This window comes from Homo sapiens, chromosome 10 (assembly GCF_000001405.40).
Source record: "Homo sapiens chromosome 10, GRCh38.p14 Primary Assembly".
NCBI lineage: Eukaryota > Metazoa > Chordata > Mammalia > Primates > Hominidae > Homo > Homo sapiens.
Window position 1 is genome coordinate 112935019 of NC_000010.11, and position 26375 is coordinate 112961393.

A 26375-nucleotide genomic window follows, 5' to 3' on the forward strand; every position below is an offset into this window, starting at 1 on the left:
TCCAGTGGATCTAAATGTGAAAGATAAAACAAAATTCTTCTAGAAGGCAACATATGGGAATATGTTTATGCCCTTGGGGTAGGTAATGATTTCTCACATAACACATATACTCACAAAAGCAATAACCATAAAGGTTACTAATATTAAAAACCTCTGGGCCAGGCGCAGTGGCTCATGCCTGTAATCCCAGAACTTTGTGAAGTTGAGGGGGGTGGATCACTTGAGGTCAGGAGTTCGAGACCAGCCTGGCCAACATGGTGAAACCCTGTCTCTACTAAAAATGCAAAAATTAGCTGGGCATGGTGGCCGTGCCTGTAGTCCCAGCTACTCGGGAGGCTAAGGATGGAGAATCACTTGAACCCGGGAGACAGAGGTTGCAGTGAGCTGAGATCGTGCCATTGCACTCTAGGCTAGGCGACAGAGTGAAACCCCGTCTCAAAAACAAACAAACAAAAAAACAAACCCAAAAAACTTCTGTTCATCAAAATGCACCATTATGAGAATGAGAAGGCAAGCAATAGAGAAGGTATTTATAAAACCTATGTCTGATAAAGGACTCATATGTAGACTATGTAAAGAATTCTTATAAATCAATAGGAAAGAGATGGACCACCTATTTTTTAAAATGGACGAAAGACTTGAACAGGCATTTCACTAAAGAGGATATCTAAATAGCCAATATGTGTGTGAAAAGATGCTCAACATCATTAGTTAACAAGGAAATGCAGATTAAAACCAATGATATACCACCGTACACTCACCATAAAAGGGGAAAAACTGACCATATCAAGTACAGCAATTGCATCTCTCTGTACATTCTTGTATAACTGGTTCAACAATTTTTGAAGAATTTTGGTACTATCTATTAAAGTGAGCTTATTGTCACATTCCAGATGTCACAATGCATTCGTATATGAACATGTGCAAGAATATTCATAGCAACCCTGTTTATCTTGGCTAAAACCAACCTAATGTTTAAGCTACAGAAGACAGGATAAGTACATTTATCTTCATTGTACATGCATTTGTGCATAAAAACACATATATGTACACACACGTATATTTACAATGTACAAGTAATAAATGTATATTCATTGTATGTTATAAATTTATATAAACATTGTACACAATGGAATACTATACAGTGAAGAAAAAGACTACTGCTACATTGTTGCATCTCACAGATAAAATGTTAAGTAAAAGAAGCTGGAATGTTTTGTGTTAGTAGAGATGGGGTTTCATCGTGTAGCACCACTGCACTCCAGACTGGGAGACAGAGCAAGGCTCTGAGGAAATTGACACTCTGAGACACACTTTGAGACTCTGTCTCAAAAAAAAAAAAAAAAAAAAAAGAAGCTGGAATCTGGAATCAAAAGAGCATGTACTGTATGATTCCATTTATACAATACACAAGAACAGGTCAAACTAATCTAGACTTATAAAAGTCAGAATAGGCCGGGTGCGGTGGCTCACGCCTGTAATCCCAGCACTTCGGGAGGCCAAGGCGAGCAGATTACCTGAGGTCAGGAGTTCAAGACCAGCCTGGCCAAGATGGTGAAACCCTATCTCTACTAAAAATACAAAACATTAGCTGGGCATGGTGGTGGGCACCTGTAATCCCAGCTACTCGGGAGGCTGAGGCAGGAGAATTGCTTGAACCCGGGAGGTGGAGGTTGCAGCGAGCTGAGATCGCACCATTGCGTTCCAGCCTGGGCAACAAGAGCGAAAGTCTGTCTCAAAAAAAAAAAAAAAAAAAAAAAAAGAGTCAAAATAATGGTTACTTTTTGGGTAGGACTGCCAGATATAAATACAGGCCACCCAGTTAAATTTGAATTTCAGAAAAACAGCAAATAATTTTTTAGTATAAATATGTTTCATGTAATATTTTTATTTGCTAAATCTGGCAACCTTATTTTGGGAGAATATCTATTTGGAGGGTATGCAAGGATTGTTTATGTGGTTCTGGTAATATTCTAGATGGTAAGTTGCATGGGCGTTTGCATTTGTAAACATTCATAAGGTGAATATTTTATTTATTTTTTTTTTTTGAGACGGAGTCTCGCTTTGTCACCCTGGCTGGAGTGCAGTGGCACGATCTCAGCCCACTGCAAGCTCCGCCTCCTGGGTCACGCCATTCTCCTGCCTCAGCCTCCGGAGTAGCTGGGACTACAGGCACTCACCACCATGCCCGGCTAATTTTTTTGTATTTTTAGTAGAGATGGGGTTTCACCGTGTTAGCCAGGATGGTCTCAATCTGCTGACCTCGTGATCTGCCCGTCTTGGCCTCCCAAAGTGCTGGCATTACAGGCATGAGCCACTGTGCCCTGCCGAATATTTAAAATTTTTGCAGTTTATGATATGAATGTTATACTCTAACAAAAATGTATTTTTATTATTATTATTATTATTATCATTATCATTATTATTTTGAGATGGAGTTTTGCTTTGTTGCCCAGGCTGGAGTGCAGTAGCGTGATCTCAGCTCACTGCAACGTCTGCCTCCTGGGTTCAAGTGATTCTCCTGTCTCAGCTTCCCGAGTAGCTGGGACCACAGGTGTGTGCCACCACGCCCAGCTAATTTTTGTATTTTTAGAAGAGACAAGGTTTCGTCATGTTGGCCAGGCTGGTCTCAAACTCCTGACCTCAAGTGATCCACTTGCCTCGGCCTCCCAAAGTGCTGAGATTACAGGCGTGAGCTCCCACACCTGGCCTAACAAAAATGTTTTTAAAATTAAAAGAGAGGTAGAGCAATATAGGAAGAGTCAAGAATCCTGGGTTCAAATCCCAGCTTTTACTGACTAGAGTGAGTTTGGTCAAGCTTTTCGAGGTCTCAGTTTTTTCATCTGTAAGATGGAAACAGTTTTAACAAGAGATACTTCTACTAACTCCATTTTATGTAAGAGAAAATGGAAGTGTGCCTTCTGCTTTGCTACTGGAAAGTGCTTCTTAAATTGTAAAAGATTCAACAAATCTAAGACGTTACGTATGATTATTTAGGACAGAAGATTTTAATACAAAGTCTAGGGATTATTTGCAAAAATTTAAATGTCAGTGCATTTTCCTGGTGAGACAGCCTAAATCTAGCTTTGGATTCTCAAAGGGGTTTCTGACAACCTTCCCTACAAGTTGAAAAGTTAGGGCCGGGCACGTTGGCTCACGCCTGTAATCCCAGCACTTTGGGAGGCCAAGGCGGGTGGATCACCTGATGTCAGGAGTTTGAAACCGGCCTGGCCAACACAGTGAAACCCAGTCTCTACTAAAAATACAAAAATTAGCTGGGTGTGGTAGCGTGCACCTGTAATCCCAGCTACTTGGGAGGCTGAGGTGAGAGAATCTCTTGAACCCGGGGTGGACGTTGCAGTGAGCTGAGATTGTGCCACTGCACTCCAACCTGGGCAACAAGAGCGAAACTCCATCCCTACATAAATACATAAATAAATAAAAGTTAGAAGACCCTTGGTCGGAAGAAGACCATCCATCCCAGAGTAAGCAGTAATAGCCTTGACTGGACTACTGTGACCTGGAGTTCCTTTCTTCCCCTTTGTCCTAGCCTTCCTTCTTTCCTTCCTTTTCATTGCAAAGCAGGCCGCATTGGGAAGCCACCATTCAGTTGCCTCCCTTTTGTAAGCAGGGTCTAGGGGTGGAGGATGGCAGGCCTTCCTCACCGGGAGCTATGCTCTTGCTTAATTAGTGTTTGCCAAGGGCTGCAGATTATTAAATTACTAGTCAATTGTGATGAAGCCTTGGGGGCTTTCGAAATCTATGTGCTGCCCTAACTGGATGGGAGGGACTTGCCTGAAGGGACAGGGAGAGGAGGGTGTTTGGAGTCGCTCTTTTGGTGGGGCTGCCCCTCCCAGTGGATAGCACCACAAAGAGATCCCAAAGGGTCTTTGCTGCTACTGTCCAGATTATCTTTGGGGCCTGAAAGCCACCATTAGGGATGTGTTTGATTTGAGTTTAGGCACCTTTCCTTTGTATAAAGCAGCTGTTCTTGAGAGGATTAACTGGGAGGGATAGGATAACAGTGATAAGAGCTAAGGTCTACTGGGCTCTCCCAAGGAGCCAGAACTATGCTAAATGCTGGTATTCCATCCCCATCTGGAGAGGGGAGGCAAGAAAGGGAAACTGCCCCATTGAAAGACGTAGAAATCAAGGCAACTCTACATGTTATTTCACTGAATCCTCGTAATAACACTCACATGTAGATATTCCAACCCTGTTTTACAGATAAGGGAAGAGAGTCAGAGTGATTTATGGAGGGGCCCAAGGTCACGCATCCACACAGGGCAAGATCCACACGATCCAAGATTTCAGTCCTGCTGCTGAGGCCAAGAGGCTCCCCCGAGCAGGGCATGGGTTCTCAACAGGACTGTGGGGGCTGGGGAGAGTCACAGTTGGAAAAAACTTCCCAGGCCATTCTAATACAGCCCCTGGTTGGCTGGGGGAGTTGGGATTGGGGAGAAGGGATTGTGGCATCCCCCTAACCAGTTAGAGAACTGATTTACTAAAGTGAATCTAAAGTATATCACATTTCTAAGGCGGGACACAGTGGCTCATGCCCATAATCCCAGCACTTTAGGAGGCTGAAGTGGGTGGATTACTTGAGGCCGGGAATTGGAGACCAGCCTGGCCAACATGGTGAAACTCTGTCTCTACTAAAAATACAAAAATTAGCCAGACATGGTGGTACACACCTGTCCCAGCTACTTGGGAGGCTGAGGCAGGAGAACTACTTGAACCCAGGAGGCAGAGGCTGCAGTGAACCAAGATCGCACCACTGCACTTCAGCTTGGGAGATGGAGCAAGACTCGGTGTCAAAAATAAATAAATAAATAAATAAATAAATAAATAAATAAATAAATAAATTGCGGTGGCTCACCCCTGTAATCCTAGCACTTTGGGAGGCCGAGGCGGGTGGATCACTTGGGGTCAGGAGTTCGTGACCAGCCTGGCCAACATGATGAAACCCCATCTCTACTAAAAATACAAAAATTAGGTGGGCATGGTGGCACGTGCCTGTAGTCCCAGCTACTCAGGAGGCTGAGGCAGGAGAATTGCTGGAATCCAGGAGGTAGAGGTTGCAGTGAGCTGAGACTGTGCCACTGCACTCCAGCCTGGGTGACAGAGGGAGACTTCGTCTTGAAAGAAAGGAAGGAAGGAAGGAAGGGGAAAGAAAGAAAGAGAAAGAGAATGAGAAAGAAAGAAAGAAAGAGGAAGGAAGGAAGGAGAAAGAAAGAAAGAGAAAGGAAGGAAGGAGAAAGAAAGAGAGAGAGAAAGAAAGAAAGAAAGAAAGAAAGAAAGAAAGAAAGAAAGAAAGAAAGAAAGAAAGAAAAAGAAAATAACATTTCTTCCAGAGAGGGGATTCCATGTAGAGCAGTGGTTCTCTAAGTGAGGATGATTTTATACTCTCCCTCCCCACCCACCATTCCTCCCCGCTCCCCTCCCCCCACAACCTGCTGGGGATGTGTGACAATTTCTGGAGACATCTGTTATGATCACAACCCCTGGGGGAGTGAGGAGGGTCTGGCAACTAGTGGGCAGAAACTAAGAGTGCTGTCCAATACCTAACACGCATAGGACAGCCCCTGACAACAAAAACTTATTCAGTCCAAAACATCAATAGCGCTAAGCTTGAGAAACCCTGGGGGAGAGTAAAGGGTGCTGTTTTGGGGTGGGGGGTGAGGAAGGGGCAAAGCTGGGGAGAGAGCTCTGGAGATCCCACAAAAAAGCCTAAGTAGGGGAGGAATGGATGGACAAATGTTAACTTCACAGCGTAGCCGGGTGTGAGTTTTGCTTTAAAGAAATCTATTTATATTTTGCCAAGATCCCCTTTATACTCCCAGGGTGTCACAGAAAATCGTGAGGATGAGTCTGTCATTGGGTTGACCAGAATCCAGGAGCAAAAAAAAGATCTGGACTGGGAGACAGGAAACCTGCATTCCAGTCCTGGTCTGGCCACTTACCAACTATGGGACACTGGGCCACCCTGGATCTCTTGGAGTCTCAGTTTCTTTTCCTGTAAAATGGGGGTAATTATATTTGTTCTCTCTACCTCACAAGGTGTTTTAAGCAGCAAGCAGGACAATCTATAAGAAACGGCTTTTGGAAGGACAATCCCTGTTAGGCTGTTCTTGTGCTGCGGTAAGGAGATACCTGAGACTGGGCAATTTATAAAGAAAAGGGGCTTACTTGGCTCAGAGTTCTTCAGGGTATACAGAAAGCGCAGCACTGACATTGCTGGGCTTCTGGAAAGGTTGCAGGGAGCTTTTGATGATCATGGCGGAAGGCAAAGGGGGAGCAGGGATGTCACATGGTGAAAGCAAGAGCAAGCGAAAGAGAGTGAATGGGAGGGGGGTGCCACACGCTTTTTAATGACCAGATCTCACTCACTATGATGAAGACAGCGCCAAGCCATTACAGCACCAAGCCATGAGGGATCAGCCCCCATGATCCAAACACCTCCCACCAGGCCCCATCTCCAGCACTGGGGATTACAATTCAACCTGAGACTTGGGAGGGGCAAATATCCAACTCTATCAATCTCCTTACAGGACAGAGGATGCTGCGGTTGTGAAATCTGTATGCAGGTCTCCAAGCACATTTGGATAAGTGGGATTAATCAGTTTTTTAAAGTTTTTTTACTTTTTTTTTTTTTTTTTTTTGAGACAGAGTCTTGCTCTGTCTCCCAGGCTAGAGTGCAGTGGTGCGATCTTGGCTCACCCCTACCTCTGCCTTCTATGCTTAAGTGATTCTCCTGCCTCACTCCTGAATAGCTGGGATTACAGGCACCTGTCACCATGCCCGGCTAATTTTTATAATTTTAGTAGAGAAAGGGTTTCACCATGTTGGCCAGGCTGGTCTCAAACTCCTGACCTCAAATGATCCACCTGCCTTGGCCTCCCAAAGTGCTCGGATTACAGGTGCGAAACACTGCACCTGGCCCATCATTTATTTTCAAACTGAAGGAGTGAAATTAAATATTTTGTCACTGGGTGCGATGGTTCACGCTTGGAATCCCGGTACTTTGGGAGGACAAGGCAGGTGAATCACGAGGTCAGCAGACCAAGACCATCCTGGCCAACGTGGTGAAACCCTGTCTCTACTAAAAATACAAAAATCAGCCTGGCGTGGTGTCGTGCGCCTGTAGTCCCAGCTTCTCAGGAGGCTGAGGCAGGAAAATCACTTGAACCCGGGAGGCGAAGGTTGCAATGAGCCAAGATCGTGCCATTGCACTCCAGCCTGGGCAACAGTGTGAGACTCTGTCTCAAAAATAAATAAATAAATAAAAATAAAAATAAATATTTTGTCATCCACATGCTTTGAAATTCAAGCATGACAGTAAAATTGACAGAGGTTTAAAATTATATATCAGGTGCAGTGTTAATGATGGCTACCTTAAAATTTCCCCAACTTGTGTGAGAGGTATGGATATAAGAGAAGAGGAAGAAAGTCAAAGCATTTATCTCTCAAAATAGAGCATTACTTTCATCCTGATGGCACAAATAATCCATGCCTAGTTGTGAAAAAATGATAATAATAAAAGACAACATAGGAAAGTATGAAAATGAAAGCAAAGGCTGGGTGCACTGGCTCACATCTGTAATCCCAGTGCTTTGGGAGGCTGAGGTGGGAGGATTGCTTGAGTCTAGGAGTTTGAGACCAGCTTAGGCAACATAGCGAGACTTTGTCTCTAAAAATAAAAAATATGGCCAGGAGCAGTGGCTCACGCCTGTAATCCCAGCACTTTGGGAGGCTGAGGCAGGCGGATCACCTGAGGTCAGGAGTTCGAGACCAGCCTGACCAACATGGTGAAACCCCGTCTCTAGTAAACATACAAAAAATTAGCCGGGCGTGATGGCGGGCGCCTGTAATCCCAGCTACTCATGAGGCTGAGGCAGGAGAATCGCTTGAACCCAGGAGGTGGAGGTTGTGATGAGCCTAGATAGCACCACCGCACTCCAGCCTTGTTGACAGAGTGAGACTCTGTCTCCAAAAATAAATAAATAAATAAATAAATAAACAAATAAATAAAAATTAAAAAGAAAAGTTAGTCGGTGTGGTGGTGCATGTCTGTAGACCTAACTACTTGGTAAGCTAAAATGGGAGGATTGCTTGGGTCCAGGAGTTCGAGGCTGTAGTGAGATAGAATTGTGCCACTGTACTGCAGCCTGGGTGACAGAGCAAGGACCTGTCTCAAAATAAGTAAATAAATAAACAAACAAACCAAACAGAAAATGAAAGTAAAAATTTTCCCAAATTCTATCATCTAGGGGGAAAAAGTGCTGTTGACATTTTGAAGCAAATGTCTCCAAATATTTTTACTTTTTAATATTTTTTTGAGACAGAGTCTTGCTCTGTTGCCCAGGCTGGAGTGCAGTGGCGCAATCTCAGCTCACTGCAACCTCTGCCTCCTGGGTTCAAGTGATTCTCTTGCCTCAGCCTCCCAGGGGGAGGCCACCATGCCCTGCTAATTTTTGTATTTTTTAGTAGAGACGGGGTTTCACCATGTTGGCCAGGCTGGTCTTGAACTCCTGACCTCAAGTGATCCGCCTACCTCGGCCTCCCAAAGTCAAATATTTTTAAAGAATAATTACATTAAAAAAAGAATTCTACAGTATATGCTTTTTTGTAACCAGCAATAATATAGCATGAACATCCAGAAGATAACGTTAGAAAGATGCTTCTTGTATAAAGGGGTGTGTGAGGTGCCTTCAAAGAAGAAAAGACAGAAAGACATTAACATCAGATCCTTCCCTAAGAAATGTTCTCTCTGGCTTCCAGATAGAGTTTGGGTGGGTGGCAGGGCCAGGAGGGTCTCACAGGCATATAGATGCCATCACTTATGGCCTTTAGCCCCTAATGCACATTGATTGGAAGGAGAATGGGAAGTGGTGGGGCCCAGGAGGCCTCTTCAGATTCTTCCTGGCCTAAGACTTGGGTTTCTTTAGAAGCATAGTCCTTTGCAGAATGAGAACAAGGAAACTGCATCCCTGTGCTGTCAACAGACCATCAGGAACCTTGGCCACCCTTAAAAAGCACAGGGAGGATTTCCAACAGTGTGTGAAGTCATTAGAAATTCAGTGTGTGGGGACACAGGCAAAGAGAAACACCACATCTCCATAGGTGGGGGTGCTGGGAGGGGCTCCCGTGTTTCTTATGGAGTTTGGGGGTTATTATAAGCCCTCACTCTCAGCATCCTGGAACCTTTAATAACGATTAATGCTCTCCTTCTTGCTCTAGGTATTTACAGCATGCCCTCAGGCTACCCAGAACCGGTGTTTGCTAAAGATGACAGTCCACTGGAAGACTCTCTTACTGTTGCTAAACCTTGTGCTGCATATTGTTGTCTATACTGAGACCCAAACTCACTCTGGATCCTGGAACTCATTCACTGAAACTTCTTCCCTTTCCTCATCCAAATGAGTGTTTTGTTAGGAAACGTAATCCATCCGTACTAATTTGGAATTTGCAGAAACATTTGGGATTTTGCAAGGGAGGAGAGTTGCTGATTCTAATCCAGTCTCAAGTGATTCCGTCAACATAGATTTAGTATTTTCTCAAGACAGTTTGGGGCTGATGCTGCTGTGGATTCCTAGTGAGGACCAAACCTGAAATCTTCACACTATGGACCTGAGAGTCTCCTTGGATATTTTACCTCCTCCCATCCCATATTGCTTCTGGCCAGATGCAGGTGTGTCAGCCCACACCTAGATGAATTTCAAGGGGGAACAATGGCATCATCCTCTCCTGAAGTTTCACCTGCTCTGTCGCTTGAACGCACGTAAGCCACCTTGTGAGACTGTTCAATACCGGGGGACATAGTATCTGCCTCATTTTAAGGTGCCCATGTTTTAGTGGAAGGTGCTTTGCTATCTGTGACATTTTTGAATACAGCAATGGATTTGAGTGGGCAAAGCTGCTCTGTAAGACAGGGTGGGGTCATTGAAGCCATTTTAAAAAGAGAAAACAAAAGAAAACCTCAGGCATTTTAATATGTTAAATACGCATCCAATTATTAATTCTAAAGACTTCTACAAATCAACCTAGATGAAACTTTTTTCACCTTTTTCCTGCCTCTTTTCCCCTTCTCAGAAACATTTAGACCTACCCTATGGCAATGACTATTGGGAAGTCTCTGCCCTGTATATCAGGGTAGCACAAATAATTCAGCACAAAGCAGCCCAGTTACTGTAGCTTGGCATTAGGATAAGTATATCTTAAGAAAGTTCTTATGCAGACTTGGCTTCAGGCAATAAAACGTCATAGACGTATAACTGTAGCGAGTGAAATTTCTAGGGAGCAAATTAGGCTGAAAACATCTTCTAGAGACAGCTAGAAAGGAATTGTACACCACCCCAAAATAAGGCAAGTTATGCAGTAAATGTTTCATTTATTGGCCTTCTTCCATTACTATTAGGGTTAAAAGACATCTTGTCAATAAGAAAAGTATATTTATGGAGGACTGATGTCTTTCAGAAAGCTGTTCCTGTCACAAATGCCTATAGCAGTGGTAATCGGCTTATGAAGGCAGGTGATGAAACCCTGTACAGATGCGTACATCTCCCCATTAACCCTTGGATCATCAGGTATTATTGTCACTTTATTACCTGGACCTGTTATTAGCTGAAGCAAGGTGATCAAGCCGGGCACTTCAGAAAAATGTCAGAACAGAAGAGTGTTCCTCAGGGTTTCAAGGGGAGAGAGTATGTGTCTCTCCAAGTCCCTTCACAGAGTCTTTGGGGGGATAGAGGATGCCTGTGAAGTGGGCGCTTTTGCCTAACCCTTCCTCTTGCTAAATTTGAAAACTCTTGGGTGTCCAATTTTTTAACGTTCCTATGTTGGCTAAGGGAGTAGCTTTCCTCAAGGTCCAAATAAGGAACCATCACCCACGCAGAACAAAAAGCAAACAGAAAATCTCACAGCGGAATCAGGACTTTGGCTTCTAAACATTTCCCCATTTTATAGCTTCCTTATGTTTTCAGAGTCTTTTTTTGGCTTCCTTTAGCACACTCCCGGCATAGATAAGTCCAACACAGTGGGGTAACAGATCATCCATCTTGGAGCCCAGATCTTTAAAGAAAAATCACACAGGAACACAAATACACACACCCACACATGTACATATCACTGTCAAGGGTAACTTAGCAGAATCTTGCCGAGTGACTGGGGGAGCTGAATATGGTTGTCAACATGTATTCCCCACTTCGGGTAAATCTGACAGACTAGCCTTGTTTTTCTCAAATTCCAGAGCCAAGCTTTCAATATGGTTTGTCTTCTTTGCTGGTGTGCGTGAATCTCTGAGCCATAACTGGGGCGTGTGGTGAAACGATGGAATCACGGACTTTTAAATATTAACAGGCAACTTAAAAAAGCCCATTCCAACCACCTCATCCACCAGGTGAGACAAGACGAAGGGGCCGTGGGTGACACAGCCTGTGGCAGGCCTATTTCTGCAGTCCCCTGTCAGGCACATTCCTGTATTTCAATGGGCACCTAACACTTCACCATATCTCCCACGTGGGGAACCAACACTTAAAAGGTGATTTGTGTAAACAGAAACCTCCTTTTCATGCTCATTGATAGGGATAAACAAGGAAGCACCTCTGGAAGAGGTAACACTACTCACTTAAGTTTTAAGGTATCAGCATGTATCCAAAGAGAAGGATTTAATCAAGGGAGGGCTGAAGGAGAGGAGAAAACAGAAGAGAAGCAGCAGAAGGGCAGTGGATGAAGAGGGCGAGGTCAAAGTCAGAGAGGCCTAGGGACAGCTACTTACAGTTCAGGACCTGGACTGGCGCCAGGAATGGACTCCAAGGGGTGAGGGCCCAGCTTCTCCCTGCCTTCCTCCCAAAATATGCAGAGACCTAACTGGATTCCAAGGGATGAGGGCACAGCTTCTCCCCCCTCCCACCCATTTCCCAACATGCAGAGCCCATGGTGGCAAAATCCCCTGGCTCAGGCTAAAGTCAGAACTGGTCTGGTTTCCTGTGTTTTTCAAATCTCTGCCATTTGGGCAGAACGCTTGGTCCTATAAACCAGGAGTCATCAGTATCCACAGAGAAGTTGCCTCAGCACTTGGACCCAAGTCAACTGTGTTTAAAATTTCACACCAAATCTATAAATTACACATTCACATTGTGGGCCAGCCTACCTTTTTTTTCAAATAGTATTCAAGGTATTTTTCTTTTTTTTTCTTTTCTTTTTTTTTTTTTTTTTGAGACGGAGTCTCGCTCTGTTGGCCAGGCTGGAGTGCAGTGGCGCCATCACGGCTCACTGCAAGCTCCGCCTCCCGGGTTCACGCCATTCTCCTGCCTCAGCCTTCCGAGTAGCTGGGACTACAGGCACCCGCCACCACGCCTGGTTAATTTTTTGTATTTTTAGTAGAGACGGTGTTTCACCGTGTTAGCCAGGATGGTCTCGATCTCCTGACCTCGTGATCCGCCCGCCTTGGCCTCCCAAAGTGCTGGGATTACAGGCATGAGCCACTGCGCCCGGCTATTCAAGGTATTTTTCAATACCTTGCTGCCTGGCTACTGCAGTGCCAATTCTGCCATTCCCCCCCGCTCCTCAATTCAGGCATCACCTGAGGGACTTGCAGAGCATCAGGGATCTGGCCCCTCTGAGATCTTGCTGGTCTACTCAAGCCTTTGTACAGCACCAGGCAACGAAATTAAATGTGGGACATGCACTATCACAGAATAACTTTTTAATTGCTTAATTAAATCAGAGATTTAAGGAAGGAGAGATTCAAAAGAGTTCCCTTTGAATGAGAAAAATAAGGATATGCCAAAATGGATAAAGTTACTAATCATGGGAACAAAGCCCTTAGTATTTACATATGATAAAAATGCAGGCCAGTATAGTAAAATCAGTAAGTACATTCTTTAAAATTTCAATTCAGTATATTCCTGAGATTTTATTATACAGGTAGTACTATAAAGAACATAGAAGACCTCATTATCCAACTTAATTCAGACCAGGGTTTGATTAAAAAAATAAAAAACAAAAAACTACCACACAGGACAAAGAAATTGCCATAAAATTGAGTTCCTATAAATGTGTTCCAGTTTAAGTAACTAAGTCCCTAAAATGAGCCTTAGTAAAGTCTACGCTGCATATAGACAGACTTAGGCACATCAAGTATACAGGTGACAATTAGCAAGTGTATAAAGCTATGGTCATTTCGCTAAATGTGTAAATCTAAAGGCAACCAAGTAAAAGACCTAAAAAAGGAAACTGTTAAGTCCATTTGTACATGGATTTAACAGTGAAGCATTTCATTCTTCATGTTTTCACTTGGTGTCTTGAAATAATCCCCTTTCTGTCTCCACTCTCCCTCTTAGACACTGCACCTGCCTTATTTATTTATGAAGTCTGAAGGTTAGTCCTACCTGCTGAGACTAATTAGCCCTGTGCTTTGTATCCTATGCAATCCTGTCTGATTAAATGTACACATTTGTTTTACTTCTTTTCAGGCTCCTTCTCACTCTACTTCTGATATTCTGATTAATATCAAAGTTGGGAGTTACAGTGATTCTCCTCTGCCTCCCCCCCAACCCATTTTTATTTTGCCTGCATCTTATTCTTTAGTGTGCAAATGTGGTTGTGATTTTTTTCCAGTGCAGGGGAATTCGTTGGCCTTGTCAATCTCGGTATCATTATTTTTAGTAGTCTTTCTGAGACTTTAGCCTATAAAACAGTTTTGCTGAAACCCCAAACTCTCTAAATATTACATGGCAAATTTGCTTTCTTTTGGAAACCTCGGTGCTGATGGGCCAGCTGAAGTGCAGGTGAGCTTTTTCAGGGAAGGGTGGGACAACAGTACATCCTGGACTCTAGACTAATACTACTCCTAAGAGGCAATTTGCTAAATCCTACTGATTTATTTTTTTCTTTTTTCTCTTTTTCATGTTGTAGTGTCCAGTCTACTTCTTACTGGGTATTTGCAAAAATGAATTTTCTTGCTCTATCACCCAGGAACATTGTGTTTTGGGAGCTGGGTCTTTCCTCTTTAACATAATTCCATTCCCCATTTTGTAGCAAATCAGTCTGCTCCTCCTCTAATACCTAAAAGTCAACAAATACCTGCCTCAAGCCCCAGGTTTCCCATCTTCTCCCGAAGGTCTTCTAGCATCGGTTTGGTTAGCAATTTCCTGCCAGAGCCACCTACATCTTGATTATTTTGGTCAGTCTTTCGGGGATTTCATTTCAGACCCCCTTCGAGAAACACTGTAGCCCAACTGATCCCAGGGGTTGGTGAACTTTCAGTTTTATTTTCCCTGACGGTGTTAACGCCCAAACTTTTCACCTCCTAAGTCAAAAAGGACTTTGACTCTAGCTCATTTCCTACTACCTCCAACGTCAGTTAAAAAAAAAAAAAAAAAAGCAAAACACCACTCTACATTTAAAAGAATCATATATTTTTCCTTAAGGATACTTTTAATGTTTCTGACATTTAGCATTTGTTTTTTGCATAAAAAGTCGTTTTGGCATATCCATCCTAGTGGGACTTAACATTTCATGAAATGATTCACTACTAATAAACAAAAAAGGGAGGAGGGAGGCCTCATGGGTTAATAGTTTCTTTCATTGTAGATGACCAGGAACTTTGACCAGCCCCTTCACTTCCCCAAGCTCTCTGAAAGTGGAGGGTTGATCTTTCCTTTTGACCACTTTTGTCGCATCCCGTCTAAGGGTGGCTGATTTCACTGCTGAATTAACCACCAAGCACCCCCCCACCCCCTCCCCCAGCCACCACTTTCTCAAATACTACCCTTCCTTTTCCCCCTCCCTTAAGACTTATTTCTAATATTTCTAAAGTGCACTGTTTTGGGCCTCTCCCCATCCCCGCCCCCCAAGTGGGCTTTCCTTCCGCCTTCCTCGGCTCGGATTCCTGACTTGGTCGCCACCCCCTTCTCCTCCTCTCCCACCCCGCATTGTCTTTCTGAAACCGCCCCCTCCCGGAGCAAGTCCCTGCACCCTCGCCCAGAATCCCGGGCTCGCACACACTCCGCGCAGGCCGCTCCCCCTGCACACTCCTCCCTCCGTCTCCCCCCGGCTTCCCCGCCCCTCTCTTCCTCCTTCTTTCCCTCCTCCCTCTCCCGGCGCCCGAAAGGATCATTGTTAGCCGCCCCCGCCCCGCCCACCCCGGCTGTTTATTTATGCACACGTCACTGGGCCGGCCCCGCCCTCCGGCATCTCATTAAGGCAGTGTGTTCCTCTCGCCCTGTCAATAATCTCCGCTCCCAGACTACTCCGTTCCTCCGGATTTCGATCCCCCTTTTTCTATCTGTCAATCAGCGCCGCCTTTGAACTGAAAAGCTCTCAGTCTAACTTCAACTCACTCAAATCCGAGCGGCACGAGCACCTCCTGTATCTTCGGCTTCCCCCCCCCTTTGCTCTTTATATCTGACTTCTTGTTGTTGTTGGTGTTTTTTTTTTTTTTACCCCCCTTTTTTATTTATTATTTTTTTGCACATTGATCGGATCCTTGGGAACGAGAGAAAAAAGAAACCCAAACTCACGCGTGCAGAAGATCTCCCCCCCCTTCCCCTCCCCTCCTCCCTCTTTTCCCCTCCCCAGGAGAAAAAGACCCCCAAGCAGAAAAAAGTTCACCTTGGACTCGTCTTTTTCTTGCAATATTTTTTGGGGGGGCAAAACTTTTTGGGGGTGATTTTTTTTGGCTTTTCTTCCTCCTTCATTTTTCTTCCAAAATTGCTGCTGGTGGGTGAAAAAAAAATGCCGCAGCTGAACGGCGGTGGAGGGGATGACCTAGGCGCCAACGACGAACTGATTTCCTTCAAAGACGAGGGCGAACAGGAGGAGAAGAGCTCCGAAAACTCCTCGGCAGAGAGGGATTTAGCTGATGTCAAATCGTCTCTAGTCAATGAATCAGAAACGAATCAAAACAGCTCCTCCGATTCCGAGGTAGGAAAAGCCCCTCGGGCTGGTGGGGTTTTTTATCTGTTTCCTGGGCTTGGCAAATGTTGCTGAAAGGGGAGAAATCGGGGCTGGGGGCGGCGGCGGGGCCCGGCGGGCGGCGTGTGCGTACGGTGCCACCATTGCAAAAACTTGTAACCCTGTTTTTTTCTACCCCCCCCTCGACCTCGCCGATTCTTTTTCTCCCCCTTCTCCCCCTTCTGCGTGGCGTTTGCCCCTCGCCCTCCCCACCTCCACCCCTCTGGGAAGGCGGAAAGACGGCCTCCGCCTCGCTCCGAAAGTTTCCGAGACAAATCCCGGGAAAGTTTGGAAGAAGGTGAGTACGCCCCGCGCGCCCCGCAGCCGCCCGGAGCCGCCCCCCGGGCCGGCCGCCCCGCGCGCCCCGGCCCCGCGCCCGGCTCGGCCTGGCCCTGCGCCGGCCCGGTCGGGGCGCCCGGCCCCTCGGGGCACTTTCTAAAAAGTTTCTCCTCACTCTCTCCCGCTCCGCGCGGCCGCCGCTGTCCCCTCGCCGCCCCGCCATGTTAGCGGCCAAGAGGCAAGATGGAGGGCTCTTTAAGGGGCCACCGTATCCCGGCTACCCCTTCATCATGATCCCCGACCTGACGAGCCCCTACCTCCCCAACGGATCGCTCTCGCCCACCGCCCGAACCGTAAGTGCCTCCGCGCCCGGCCCCCGCCCGCTGCCCGCCCGCCCGCGCCGCCCGCCGGGCCCCGCATGCGGCCCCTGCCCTGCCCCCTCCCCGCCTCCCCCTCCCCGCCTCCTCCCCTCCCTCCCTCCCCTCCCCCGCTCGTGGCCCAGGAGGCCCGAAACTCTCCAAACTTTTCTGCCTTTTGTGGACTGGATTTGTTTGCACTTCGCCACGTTCTTGCTTTCAGTTTGCTGCCTCGTGATGTTGGGGAGACCTCTCTGTCCAAGCAGGGCTTTGTTGGTGGGGAGGGGGGGGAATCCGAAGAACTTTCCTTTGCGTTCTGGTTCCCCCTCCCCCTTTGGTGGTGGTGTTTGTTTCTTCACCCTGGGAAGATGACTCTGTGGCTCTTCCTTTGCTCTCTCTCCCTCTCTCTCCTTCTCTTCCTTCCCTCTTCTGTGGCGTCTTGGGCTTTCCCCGGTTAACCCCTTGGCTGCCGCTGCGGGCCACGAGTGACTGACTGTGCTGCGCCCGATGCGCGGGGTAGAGAGTGGGTTTCCTCCAGGCATTGGACTTGAGAACTGGCTAGCGCGCAGAGCCCGGGGCCCTGGAGAGGCTCCTTGGCTTTCTCTTTTGGGCGACTATGTATTTAGCTTTCTAGTGGAGATTGCTGGCTCTCGGCCCTCCTTCCCCCTTCCCCTGGAAGGTCACACTTCCCAGATTGGTCCCACCGCAAACTTGGGGGCTCTGAGGCGTCCTTTTCTTTGGCAACCCGCAGGGCCGCGAGCGCCCTGGGCGCCGTGGCGGGCTCCGCTGCCCGGCGCACTGGCTGCGGGCTCTCCCGGGCCGCGCAGGGCAGCAGGGCTGAGTGGGGCGGGGAGGCCCCTGCGGCCCGGATTCTTGGTTTGTGTGCAGCCGGAATGGACTCCTCCAAGCGGACTTGTGTATTTCTAGGGAATTTTGGCGCCTTGGGATGTATGGCGGGGTCGGCGCTCGCCAGCTTCCGTGTAGGCCCGTCGTGGGCCCCAGGGGGGCCAGAGACCAGGGTGTGCGGGCTCAAGGAGGTGCGGGGGCCGAGGGAGGCTGGGGCGCCTCTCCTTCAAGGGAGTGGGCCGCCGATCGCCGGCCACCCAACTTTGGGGGCCCCAGGGCAGCGCGGGGTGCCGGGCTCGGGGGGCGCTTCCTGCAGGGTCGGTCCCGCGCCCAACCCTGACATTTGTTAATACGGCTCATCCCCTCCCCCACCGGCCTGTGCCCCCTGCCCTCACCCTGAACCCCCTCCTCCTCATCCCTCCCTCCCTCTTCTAAGAAGCCTGGATTACGAATCCCTGGACGCAAGACGCATTTGTGCCCGGCTTCCCGGTATTGTCATTTTACACCTTCTCCAGTTTGGTCCCCTACCCCTTATTTACACACACGACTTTTGTTTTTTCTTTTTCGGTAACTCTAGATAGCAATTTGAAATAATGCACCCACTGTTCAGCAGCCATGGATTCGGTGCTAATGGCCGAGGGCTTGCCGGACGGGAGTCGATCAGATCTACAAGTGTTTTTAAGCATTAAAATATTAACTATCAGGTTTGACTTGCTTTTTTGGGCCCTGGCAAAATGGCAAGGGCATGCTAGACCGGTCATTTTTTTTATGGCTAGGGAAGAGAAATAATTATTCCCCCCCTGCCCGGCGCCCAGACATGCTTGGGAAGCTGGGAGAGCGGTTCGGCTCAACCCCCTTCTCCAGGGCCAGTTCCACCAGGCTGCAGGGGCCGCGCTCTGGGCTTGCAGCTGTAGGGGAAGCACAGTTCGCTTACTTTGTATTTTTCTTGGGAGCTTGTGGGGCATCTTAAACGGGACCGTTCGGCTCAGAATCGCAGTGTTCGCCTACCAATAAACCGGACCAAGCAACATTCCAAAGAATCCCTGAGAATTTCTGCCTCTCCTCCCCTCCCCCTTCCGATGGAAACCTCCCTGGTATTATTTTAAAATCCACTTAACCATCTGAATATTGAGCTTTGATGGCGGGCTTGCTAGCTTTCTTGACTCTTTTTAAACTCGCTGTCTGATACTGGCAATCTTGCCATCCCTTCTCAAACTTGAGCAGTTGTGTTGTCTTGTAATTAGCAAACAGGGAAATTGCTAAAGGCAAATAAATGATTTCCCGGTGAGAAAAGGAAGGCTCCCAATGATCGGTCCCTTTTGTGGGCATTATAGGAATAGACGGCGTCTAGTTATTTTAATTGTGGACATAGCGGGTGGCCTGGTGCTGTGACATCAGATTGAGTCTCAGAACACATTTCTGAACTCAGTAGGCAGTTTTAGTACTTACATGTCAAACACCAGCAGACATCTTTGTGTACACTGCCCCTTCGTCCTTCCTCCCTGTTACCTGGGTTAGATTATGTGCTCCAAAATTAAAGTTATTTATTTAGGCTGGTCAGCAGAGCAGTGGAAATGAGGATGGTAGGCTGTTGTGTGTCATTCCTGACGTCTTCAATCAGAAGGCCAGCTTGCAATCCAGATTTGATACAGCTGCGGGAGGAATGGAGGAATGCATAGGCAAGATAGCGGGCTTCCCATACTCTTCTGAAATCCTTAGTGTTTTATAGGGTGTGTTTTTAATGGCAAGGTGTAAAGACAAATTTCGCTGTATGCTTTATTATTTTCCCTTTGCTCCTTGGTGGCGGTGATTTTTGCTACATTTTCTGTTACTTATGGTGTACCTGTAAGCAGCTGCATCCTTTAAAAAGCAAACTCTCTGGAACCCTGATTTCTGCTTTTTTATTTAAGAATGTAAAGAATTAGAGAGTATCATTAAATCGGCTTATGATGAATAATACATTATCTCAAGAATAATGCTTTAATTGCTGAAGACACCATAAAGCTTGATAGTAATAATTTTATTTTAAAATGACAAAGATTTCTGCATAATATTAATTTAGTCTTTGATTCAGTAATAGGAATGGCTTTTAAAAAGACAGATTCAGATACAAAACTGCATTAAGGAGAGGTCTAGTTAAGTAGATGGGAAGTGTTAGAACTGCAAATATTAGAACTGTGGTAACATTTGTATATTAAAGATAAGAATACTGTAACCTATTAAAGTTGATTGGAAAAAGTAGTTTTACATTTCTTTTTCCCTCCTGGCAAAGTGGAAATAGGAATATGGTGGTTGAAATTCCAGTTAGGTTTGAAATTTCTTTTTAAGGACTTGATTATTCGAGCCCTTGCATCTTCTCTTATCCAAAGTTATTTGCTTTTCAACCGAGCTCTTTGCTACTAGGTTGAACAGATAAATAAGCTGCATCTTGAATTCATTTTTGAACTTGGAATCCAGCATTTAAAGGAAACCGAGAGGGGCCTATTCATTGGGATTTTATTTAGCCGGGCAACTTCTCTTTCTGGCTTGTGAAAAATGGACGTTTTTTCCTCACTGAAACAACATAATCCTTTCTAATACAAAAGATTTAGACCTTGGAGTGTGAAGGGTTAATGGTGGTCCTTCCCAGTTGTCCTCCCACCCCCCCACCTCACCCCTGATTGTTTTGACAACACTTTTCAAAGTGTGACATTCCAAGCCCCTACATAACAATGTAATATTACTGTAATTACACAGGTCATTACATTTTAAATAGAGAACAATAAAATGCTTATCGCCCTGAAAAAGAACAGGTGTTCTTACCCTTCTTTGGTATTTATGCTAATTGTTTTTCATCTCCTTCAGAAATATTTATGGCGAACATGTTTAGATTTCAATCTCAATGCAACCGTATTAATTCCATGCTAATCTTTATAGGTTGGGGTTTAATGTCTGCAGTATGGATTATAGGCTCAACATTCACCCAATAAGTCATATTTTAATGATTATAAATTAAATATGCCAGCGCTTTCCACTTTGTTGATATTGAAACTTTCTGAAATCCCAGAAACAAACTCAGGCATTTGGGAGCCTAACGAGCTTATCTGGAAGACGTGTTTTTGGAAACTTTTGACTGTTTAAGGGAAGGAGCTTTGACTGATGCCCTCTGTGTCTGATTGAGAAAGAGTTTTTTGAGGAAAACAATCCTCGTTCTTGCTAGGAGTTCTTCACCTTGATTTTAATTTTACTGATAGGGATTTCATTTAGAGTCATTGCTGGAAGTTGGTCAGCTTTCTGTTTCTTAGCAAGCTGTGAAAAAGTTACCGGAAGGTTTCCAGGGGCTTGCAGATCAAGAATGCTGTTCTGTTTGCCGTGCTGGATCGCTGCAGTTCTGCACGCCATTGAAAAAAATATTTGCTTTAGAAAACTAGCATTTTAATAGTTGCACCAGAGGCTGTGCTTTTAAAGATTACAGTAGAAGTCTTTCCAGGTTTCGAATGCCTCCTTACATCCCACGAGGTGCCCCTGGCTGTGTGCAAAAAGTGCCTAGATTTCTCGGTGGAGAAATCCTGGTGCAACTTCTCTTACACACGTGCAGTGGGTAAACTAGAAGGTATCTAAGAGGATTTTACATTTTGTCAGATGTTTCACAACAGGCCCCCCTGAATCACATTAAAAATGCACTGTAGAGAAAGGACAGCTGCAAATTTTTGTGTGGACGCGTGTTTCTGGACCATGACTAAAACTCCGAGGACCTTTCCCCCAGCTGTCTGGAAGTTATGTGGAAGTTGGTTTATTGGCAGTTAAGTATGAGACAACCTGGATTTAGCAAATGCTCTCTCCTGCACAGGAAGTAGATGACATTATATTGGGGGAAGGGAGGAGATTTCAGGCAAGGAGTGATTTACCTTTTTTTTTTTTTTTTTTTTTTTAAATGCTGGAGTTGCCAAATAAATAAGCACTTTCCAGGGAAGTAAGTGTAAGCTTTTTAGTCTTGGTGAGTGGCATTAGATAATATCTTTGACTGCATTTATAATTCTTTTGAGGTGACACATTTTAAAGTTTGGAAAAGGAGGCTGAACCAAATTCTTGAGGGTCTTATTTTCAAAGGGGTGTGTGATGTGGGCATCTGAGTTTCTTCTGGGAGTGAATATTGGCAACTATGTAAGTAAATCTTCAACTCTGACTTATAATTGAGCACATTTGTGAAGGAAATGGTTAATTTTACAACCAAAGGCAAACTCGCACCTCGACAGGTCTGCTGAAAGAAATGTGCCCCAGTCTTTTTGCTGGCAAGCGCACCACCAGGTCATAAATCCACAGGCTTTATTTACAGCCCATAACACTTATGAATGTTAAGATATTTGACGCCACGTTGGCCTTATAATATTCAAGGTCCGCAGACATTGGCAGTAGCTCAGATTTCTCTCACTAATTATAAGCAATGAGATGGGGGGAGGTGGTGGTATCCTAATGCAAATGCTGCCCTCCCTTCTCCGCTGACCCCCACCTCTACAATCTTGAGTTTACTGAGACAGACGCCACCACTCCTTTGGCAGCTGACTTGTACGTTTCCTCTAGGCTATTGTTATACACATTTATAAAGAGCACTTTCAGGAATGGAAATTCAGTGGGGGCTCTGCACAGATGCCTTTTTCAAAAGCAAAGTTGCTCTAGGTGTTTGCATCTTTTCCCTTTTCTTTTCTCCCTTTTTCCTTTCTTTCTCTTTTCTTAATTCCCCCCAACACCCCCACCTTTTTTTTTTTTTTTTTTTTTTTTTTGAGATTACATTGCCTATATTGTGCATTTTCCCCAGGAATACTTAAAGAAACCTGGTATGGGAGACGGCTCTTTAATTTATATGATGTTCCCCTGAGTGGAAGGGAAAATGTACACATTACATAGTACACTAGTTAAACTAGTTAACGTGAGAGTTTTTAAAAAAGTGAGATGAGGTGAAGAGAGTTGACTAAAAGAATATAATAGGTGAGGGGAAAAAAAATCCAGGTTTACACTGGGGATGGGAGGGCTGCTTATTTGTGAAAAATGTACTGGTATCTGCGGGAGGAGGCACAGAAAAGTAGCCAGAGGAGACAGAATAAATGCCTAAGAAAGATAAGAAAAGTATAATACAAGAGAACAAAGATTTGGGTTTGGGGGAATTGAAATTGGAGATTGGAAGTTTCCTTATGGAGGGGCGTGGGAGTACCCTGGGCTGGGCTATTAAAAAGGGATATTGCTTTGCTCAGCAAAGATGGGCTGCGATCCCTTCATTACCCAGGGTGTTCTACCTAGCCACAGATGTGTTTCCTATCAGTTACTGTGTAAGCATCTGAGGGTGAGGCATTATCTGTGGTGGAGACTGGAGTGTGAGAGAGAAGGCCAGTTGTCCTGCTGATTTTAATTTATGTTGAAAAAGTGGGCTGTTCTGGTGTATTACAAACTGACTACGCGGTATAAGGAGGAAGTGAGATTCAAAGGTGTTTGCCAGGCCAGGAGAGATGATGGCTCTCATTTCTGACTGGATCCTTCCTTCCATCCAACCCAAACTTAAAGACCCAGGCCGAAAGGTTTTCTTTTCTAATCAATGGCATGCAGAAACTTACTAGCCCTCAGGGATAGATATGAATCCCTAAACAGCTCATTACAAAGAAGGGGCTGTGGGATCTTTGAACGGGTTATCAGCCGAGGTGTTCTTTGCTTTTCCCAAGATAGGTTTTTTCTCCTTAGGCACATCTGATTTCGGGCTAGTAATTCGACCTGTTATATTTTATTCTTTTTGTCATGCAGTAGCCCCAACCAGGTCGGTCTACGGAGGAAGGAATGGCCAGGAGTGGCATCAGCCCTGAAGGAGTTAAAATTGCTCCCTAAAGTTTGGCATCATGAAAATAAATTTGAGGCCTGGTAGGCATTAGCAGGGCACAGCACATTTACAGAGCTTAATTAGTACGCACTGTAATTGTTCATGGTCTGCCAGAAGAAGTAATGTTCAGGAAAAGTGGAGTCCCTCTCTTGCAGTCTTCAGCTTGAAACCGATAAATCACTTGCATATTTGTGTAGTGATTCAAATGGAGCTAAGACCTCTCCCATCCCAACATGTGGTAAATTGTAAAGTCAATGAATTGCAGATGTAGGCTACAGTGAGATTCTCTAAGAAAATGCAGAATGAATGGGAAAGAGTGACGCTATAAATATTTACTGAGAAGATAACTAGATTCCTTCGTGCTGGGCCAATTATGATGTACTAAAATATATTAGTAAAATGCTTAAAAAATTGAGAGGATTTGTGTGGGTCTTTGGGTGGGTTGGTTTGTTTTGGAAAGTGAAATAAAAGGCACTATGTTGTTGTCGTGTCAGTTTTATTAAGCCTGAATCACAATGGCATACCCAGGGAAGGACACATGAAACCCACATTAATGCAAATTAATTCGTTATGAGTTGCAGCACTGCGACTGCTAAGTGGAGTAATGATGGGGCATCATTTTAAGAGTTTTAGTGTAGCAACTTTTAATGAAAAATGCTGTGTTAGGAACATGTCTCAGCACTTCAGCCCACGTGTTTTTCTATATGCTAGAAATATGTTTTGTACAAGAGCAGGAAACTTGATTCACTTTATTTTTTCCCCCAGACAGTTTAAGAGCTTTAATTATGTTTTGACGTTGAAAGAAAATCATCTAGTTTTTCTCAAAAATCAACCCAGAAATGCCCATCACCATAAAGAAGTTCAAGCTCAACTTTTTTTTTTTGCGAGACTTTGCAGCACAAAGTGGAGAAACGATGAACATAGCATTTCCCCGCAGACCTACAGATAAAACTTTCTTGAAGCGACTTTTTCCCCTTTTTTTCTTCTTAGAGAATTTTGGTCTCAGGCAATGTTGCAAGTCAATACTTCTTTCCCCAAATGTGAGTAGGTGGATACGTATAGAAGCTGTAAAAGTTAATGATCGTTCTCTGACTCATAGCTGATGGTTTCAGGTTGAGGAAAAGAAAAATTAATGAGGGTAAATAGACATTTGATGGAACATTGAGACAGTAGGAGAGATTGTTCTTGTGTCTAAAGGCATGCATTTTGTTGCAGCAGAATTTCTGAGGCAGAATGCCAGGAAGTGAAAGGGGATGCTGTCGTTAAGTTATTGTTTAGGGATGGTACAAATGTTCAGTGTCTAGATCTCTGCAGGAATGTTTAAGCTCAAGTACCAGGCAATGCTGGTTTTGCCTTTTCTCTTGAAGTCAGAGGCCCCCCTTGGTACTTTTTATAAGGGCAGGCAGTCACCCAAAGTCTTGGTCAAAAGTTTATTTCCCATTAAATGTAAAAGGCTCTCAACACAGGACTGGGGGCAGTGGGGTAGGGGAAGCTGGGCTTATAATGGCCTGTGGTTGCTCAAATGACTAATGACCTAAGAAAAGGTCTTAGGTATACTAAAAAAAAGTATTTTGTTTCTTAAGGTAATTACATGGAAATTAGATTTCAAGTGGCTCATGGTAGCAGCTACAGGGTAGAGAGGAAAGTGGACCAAAAAAACTAACACCTCCTAGGAAATGATCTGTTTTTTTTTTTAATATAGATAAGAGAAAGCCAGGTGATTCATAAAACTGAAAATAAAGTAAATGTTCCACCTCTTCCCAATTTAGCAGGACGAATAGGCATCAAAAATTAATGTGCATCATGTTAGAAGTTAGCTTAGTGCTGGAAAAACCAACAGAGGATTTCAATTGTTTTAATTGTCTTTGAGGAGGAGATTCCTGTGGTTGAAAAAAGCTGTTTCCCATTCCATGTCTGGGTATCTCTGATGTTTTGCATATCAGAAACATCAAATTTAGAGCCCAGTAGTGATTAGAAATAAGATGAAGAATCTAGATATGATGATAATAAGGGAAGGGGTTAATCTTAAAATGTTGGTCTTTACATTGCTGAAGAATTTTGCAAGCCTGTGCTGAGAACTGCCGAGTCTTCACCGTTCTTCCTCTGGACAAGTGAGGGCTGAGGCATTTGTGGGTAGTAGAATGGGGGATGGGCTTGGTCACTGATTTTTGTTGAGAGCTTCATGGGAAGCAATGAAATGGAAAATACGCTGGAGTTCTCATCTGGTGACTCCCTGGGTACTCCAGGCAGGGAAGTGCCATTTTGAAGGTGTGAGGCACAGCCAGGTGAGAGCAGCCATGTTTGCCGGATGAGGAAATGATGTGGAGTGGTCTTGGAGCACTCCTGGTGACTGGTGCAGGACAGTCCCAAGAGATGAGGCAGATGGGAACCTGTTTTTTTTTTTTTGAGATGGAGTTTCGCTCTTGTTTTCCAGGCCGGAGTGCAGTGGTGCGATCTTGGCTCACTGTAGCCTCTGCCTTCCCGGCTCAAGCAATTCTCCTGCCTCAGCCTCCCGAGTAGCTGGGATTATAGGCGCACACCACCATGCTGGGCTAATTTTATTTTTGTATTTTTAGTGGAGATGGTGTTTCGCCATCTTGGCCAGGCTGGTCTGGAACTCCTGTCCTCAGATGATCCGGCCTCCTCGGCCTCCCAAAATGCTGGGATTACAGGCGCGAGCCATTGCGCCCAGCCTGGGAACCTGGTTTTTATTTTATTTTATTATTATTTTTTGAGACGGAGTTTTGCTCTTGTTGCCCAGGCTGGAGTGCAATGCCTAGATCTCGCTCACCGCAACCTCCCCCTCCCGGGTTCAAGCGATTCTCCTGCCTCAGCCTCCCTCATAGCTGGGATTACAGGAATGCGCCACCACGCCCGGCTAATTTTTGTATTTTTTAGTAGAGACGGGGTTTCACCATGTTGGTCAGGCTGGTCTCGAACTCCCGACCTCAGGTGACCCCCCCCCCCCCAACCTCGGCCTTCCAAAGCGCTGGGATTACAGGCGTGAGCCATCGTGCCCGGCCAGAACCTGGTTTTTAAACTCAGATGTGCCTTAGTCATCTTGTCCTGGACTTCGCAGTCTCACCTCATATTCC

The 26375-nt window shown here is 45.3% G+C and overlaps 1 protein-coding gene and 1 long non-coding RNA gene across 16 annotated transcripts in view, besides 1 other annotated feature; one reads left to right on the plus strand and one right to left on the minus strand.

Moving 5' to 3' along the window:
• The window catches only part of TCF7L2 (transcription factor 7 like 2), a 217432-nt gene continuing 206285 nt past the window's right edge, over positions 15229 to 26375 (plus strand). For all 15 annotated transcript variants that reach the window (NM_001367943.1, NM_001363501.2, NM_001146274.2 and 12 more), the window contains exons 1-3: positions 15229 to 15927; positions 16189 to 16255; positions 16465 to 16589. In NM_001367943.1, coding sequence (NP_001354872.1) covers positions 15739 to 15927; positions 16189 to 16255; positions 16465 to 16589 — 381 coding nt within the window. In that variant the 5' untranslated portion in view covers positions 15229 to 15738. The remainder of the gene's footprint in view (positions 15928 to 16188; positions 16256 to 16464; positions 16590 to 26375) is intronic.
• Positions 15611 to 17324, minus strand: LOC124902502 (uncharacterized). The gene is made up of 2 exons (XR_007062291.1): positions 16760 to 17324; positions 15611 to 15989 (listed from the first exon to the last, which is right to left on the minus strand). It is a non-coding gene; the product is annotated as an uncharacterized LOC124902502 (long non-coding RNA).
• Positions 22482 to 23116: an enhancer, noted in NCBI's record as "H3K27ac hESC enhancer chr10:114717259-114717893 (GRCh37/hg19 assembly coordinates)". NCBI's record gives its function as "activates a minimal SCP1, AML or CMV promoter by ChIP-STARR-seq in naive H9 embryonic stem cells {active_cell/tissue: H9 hESC(naive)}" and the evidence as "EXISTENCE:reporter gene assay evidence [ECO:0000049][PMID:30033119]".